This window comes from Homo sapiens, chromosome 13 (genome assembly GCF_000001405.40).
Source record: "Homo sapiens chromosome 13, GRCh38.p14 Primary Assembly".
Lineage (NCBI taxonomy): Eukaryota > Metazoa > Chordata > Mammalia > Primates > Hominidae > Homo > Homo sapiens.
The window spans coordinates 64,868,821-64,873,662 of record NC_000013.11 but is presented as its reverse complement, the minus strand read 5'-3'; the positions used below and the strand labels follow the sequence as shown (position 1 = coordinate 64,873,662).

Genomic DNA, 4,842 nt, shown 5'->3' with positions numbered 1-4,842 from the left:
CTCTTGTTGGATGAAGAGTTTGCAAGTATTTTCTCCAATTCTACAGGTTGTCTCATCATTCTGTTGTTTTCCTTGCTGTTCAGAAGCTATTTAGTTTAATATAGTTTCATTTATTTATTTTAGTTGTTATTGCCGGAATCTTTGAAGTAAGTCTTAGCTATAAAATCTTTGCCCAGACCAATATCCTGAAGTGTTTCCACTGTTTTTTTAAATTAATTTTATAATTTCATGTCTTGCATTTAAGTCTTTATCACATTTTGAGGTGATTTTTTCTGAGATAGTTTTTTATATGTTGAAAGACAGTATCTAGTATCATTCTTTTGCAAAGAAGTCATTTTCCCAGCACCATTTATTGAGGAGACTGATCTTCCCTAATGTATGTTCTTGGACACCTTTATCAAAAATCAGTTGACTGTAAATGTATAGACTTATTCCTGGGTTCTCTATTGTCTTCCATTGACCTATTTGTCTATTTTTATTGCAAATCCTGCTGTTTTGGTTACTATAGCTTTGTAATGTATTTTAAAAACACGCAGTGTGACCTATCCAGCTTTGAATATTTTGTTAAGGATTTCTTTGGCTTTCTGGGGTCTTCTGCAATTCCCTATGACTTTTAGGAGTTTTTTATTCCTCAATTTCTGTAAAGAAGCTCACTGATATTTTGAGAGGGACTGCATTTAACCTATAGATTGCTTTGTCAATATAATCATTTTAACATTATTGTTTATGATCCATGAGTATTTTTATTTGTGTTCTCTTCAATTTAATTAATCAGTGCCAGGTAGTTTTTGTTGTAGAGGTCTGTCACTCCCTTGATTAAATTTATTCTTAGATTTTTTGGTAGCTATTATAAATAAGATTATTTTTTCTCAGCTAGTTTTTCATTGATGTATACAAATGCTGTTAATTTTTGTATGTTGATTTTGTAAGCTGCAACTTTAGAGAATTTGTTTATCATTTTAAAGAATTTTTGGTAGATTCTTTAGGTTTTTCTAGGTATAAGATCATGTCATCTGCAAAGAGAGACAATTTGACTTCCTGTATTCCAACTGAATGCCTTTTATTTCTTTCTCTTGCCTGATTGCTCTGGATAGGACTTCCTGTACAGGATGCTTGGGTACCCACGGTGCCAGCAGTGGTGGTGGTAAACAAACTCTTGGACCACTATGTAACATATACAGACATCAGGGGTACATGCAATATTGTAGGTCGGCTGGTACCCAGGTCTCCAGGAGGTTTGCATAGCTGCCATTGGCAAGATGGATGGGCTCATCATTATGCCTCTGGCAGCAAGCACATGGACAGGTGGTGGTGGGCAGGATGGGCCTATCCTTAGGCCCCCAGACAGTATTTGCAGGCAGCAGCATTGAGTGAGCAGGGCAGATAGATCCCCAGGCACTTGAATAATCTGTGTAGTTGTGGCACAAGTAGTAGGAGAAGCAGGCCTATCTTCAGAACCACAGACAATGTGCACGGGCACTGGTGGTGGTGGGCAGGGTGAGTTAATCTCCAGGCTCCCAGACAACGCATACAAGTGCTGCTGGCAATGGAAGTAGCTTCCTGGTTGGATGTGGGAGGATGTCAGCCTGGCTGGCTCTAGGAATATGGAGATGTAGAACTATTGGTCCCAGGGCAGGACGTAGTCTGGTGGGAGCTGAGCTCCCAAAATAGCACCAGGCTGCAGCTTCTTGGGCCTCAGGAAGTGTGTGGGATCCAACACAATTTCCCTCTGTGGAACAGTGCCATTGTGTGGACTCCAGGGAATTTCCTCTGCTAGTCTCAGGGCCTGTGAGGGTCAAAGAGCTCCCGCATGACTAGGATTGCAGGAGTCCATGATGGGAATGTGGACCGCTAGAGATCTCTTGTTTACCTTTTATCCATAAAGCGTAGTCTCTCTTGGCTCCTGACTGATCCCAGCCAGGCATGCTGTCTCACTTCCTTCTCCTTTTATATCCCAGAGGTTCCCAGTCACTTCTCTGCTGAATTCTAGTGTTTTCTCTTAGAAGGTCTATTTGATAGGTGGTTACCTACTCACTGTTTTGATCCTTCTTTGGGAAAAGGTGAGCACTGGGTCCTTATATTTATCCATCTTTCTCCAATTTTAAATCAGTGATCTTTGGTGCTGCTATGGTAGTTGTTTTAGGGTGGCATGAATTTAGCCCATATAATATGACAAACTTAATAAATAAATACTATGTGTGTTCTGACTGGCCCACCTACCAGCCATCCCCCACCACTCCTCCTCCCTATGGGACTCCCTATTTCCTGAGACATGAAAATGTTAAAATTAATAGTTAACAGTTAATAGTAGTTATTATTAACTACTATTATTAGCAGTTAATAGTAGGGTTCTACCATGGCCTCTGAGTGTTCAAGTGATAAAGAGAGTTCCACATCTTTCTCTTTAAATCAAAAGCTGGAAATAATTAAGCTTAGTAAGGGTGGCATTTGGAAAAGCTGAGATAGGCCGAAAACTAGGCCTCTTGAGCCCAACAGTTAACATAGTTGTGAATAAAAATAAAAACTTTTTGAAGGAAAGTAAAAGTACTATTCAAGTGAACACACAAATGGTAAGAGAATGAAACAGCCTCGTTCCTGAGGTGGAGAAAGTTTTAATGATTTGGTTAGAAGATCAAACCAGCCACAACGTTCCCTGAAGCCAAAGCCTAATTCAGAGCACGGCACTCACTCTCTTAAATTCTGTGAAGGCTGTGAGAGGTAAGGATGATACACACAAAAAGTTTGAAGCTAGCCGAGGTTAAACCATGAAGTTTGAAGAAAGAAGCCCTCTCTACAACATGAAAGTACAAGATGAAGCAGCACATGCTGATGGAGAAGCTGTAGCAAGTTATCCAGAAGATTGAGATAAGATAATGGTTGAAGGTAGCTACACTAACCAACAGATTTTCAAGGAAAATGAAATAACCTTATATTGGAAGGAGATATCTAAGACTTTCATAGCAAGAGAGGAGAAGTCAATGTCTGGTTTCAGTGTTGTCTTGTTAGGGGCTAAATCACCTATTGACTTTAAGTCTCAGCCATGCTCATTTACCATTCCCAAAATCCCAGGACTCTTAAGAATTATACTAAATCTACTCTACCTTTGCTCTATAAATGAAACAACAAGGCCTAGATAACATCACATCAGCTTATAGCATGGTTTACTGAATATTTATTTTAAGCCCATTTTTGACACCTAGTGCTCAGAAAAAAAGATTTCTTTCATGATATTACTGTCAATATTATTACTTATTGACACTGTATCTAGTCACCCAAGAGCTCTGATGCAGATGTACAAAGACATTAATGTTTTCATTTCTGTGAACACAATATCTATTCTGTACTCCATGGATCAAGGAGTAATTTTAAATTTCATGTCTTGTATTTTAAGAAATACATTTTGTAAGGCTTTAGCTTCTATAGATAATGATTTTTCTGATGGGTCTGAGCAAACTAAACTGGAAACTTTCTGGAAAGAATTTGCCATTTTAGATGCTATTATAAACATTTGTGATCCGTGGGAAGAGTTCAAAATATCAACAGTAACAGAAGTTTAGAAGAAGTACATCCTAATCTTCTTGGAAAATTTTGAGGAGTACAAGACCTCAGTGAAAGAAGTAACTGCAGATGAGGTGGAAATAGCAAGATAACTAGAATTAGAAGTGAAGCCTGAAGATGCGACAGAATTGCTGTGATTTCATGATAAAACTGGATGGATGAGAAGTTGCTTCTGGATGAGAAAATAAAGTGATTGTTGAGATGAAATCTACTCCTGGTAATAACGCTGTGAACATTATTGAAATGACAACGAATGGTTTAGGGTATTACATAAGTTTAGTTGATAAAGCAGTGGCACCGTTTGAGAGGACTAATTCTGGGTAGAATGCTATCAAATAGTGTTGCATGCTACAGATAAATCTTTCATGAAAGGAAGACTCAATCAATACATCACACTTCATTGTTTTCCTTTTTAAAAGATTGCACAGCCCAACCTTCAGCAACTACCATCTTATCAGTCAGCAACCATTGACATAATCAGCAAAAAGATTATGACTCATTGAAGGTGCAGATGATTGTTAGCCTTTTATAACAATTAAGAATTTTTAAATGTTGGTATGTACACATTTTTAAACATAATGCCTTTGCACACTTAATAGGCTGCAGTATGAAACAAAAAAAAACTGTGTGACTTGTTTTATTGTGATATTTGTTTTATTGCTGTGGTCTGGATTTGTACTGTAATATCTCTGAGGTATGCTTGTATTAAGTTTAAATTTATTTCATCCATTTACCTTTATGCTGAAAAATATTAATTTTCTCCTAGAGCAGGGTGTGTGTGTGTGTGTGCAGCAAGAAAACCAAATTTCTTTAAGAATACCATATCCTTTTACAACTCATCCCTCTAAACTTATTTTTCAAATTTTCTGGAATTTTCCATTAAGTATTTTTCTTTTTTATTTGTAAGCTGTTACATTATTTCAGAACTTAGTCAAATAGCACCTCCTTACTAAAACTCTCCCTGACTTATCAAGAAAAATTAGCTGATTGTCTGTGATCCCTTCACAATTAAACTATAATTACTATGTTATGTGTCAACATTTATTGAAGCTATCCTCTTTAGCTATTCCTTCTTTTCCTGAGCCCCATTTCAATGTTGTTATGTACAAGTTCCTTTACCTTGGGATCACCTGATATTTGAGTTTTATCTCCAGGGCTTGGAATAGTTTCTCATAAATATAAGACAATGAAAAAACGTAGGGTAAATTAATGTATAGGGAAATCTGAATAATTGCTCTTACAGAGAAAAAGCTCAGTGACAATAGATAAAATACTAGAGAAGGA

At 37.2% G+C, this 4,842-nt stretch overlaps 2 annotated features.

Annotated features, from left to right (window-relative positions):
• Window positions 1,692-1,986: an enhancer, noted in NCBI's record as "tiled region #6918; HepG2 Activating non-DNase unmatched - State 24:Quies". NCBI's record gives its function as "activates a minimal TATA promoter and a strong SV40 promoter by Sharpr-MPRA in HepG2 cells {active_cell/tissue: HepG2}" and the evidence as "EXISTENCE:reporter gene assay evidence [ECO:0000049][PMID:27701403]".
• Window positions 3,852-4,146: a silencer, noted in NCBI's record as "tiled region #7062; HepG2 Repressive non-DNase unmatched - State 24:Quies, and K562 Repressive non-DNase unmatched - State 24:Quies". NCBI's record gives its function as "represses a minimal TATA promoter and a strong SV40 promoter by Sharpr-MPRA in HepG2 and K562 cells {active_cell/tissue: HepG2 | K562}" and the evidence as "EXISTENCE:reporter gene assay evidence [ECO:0000049][PMID:27701403]".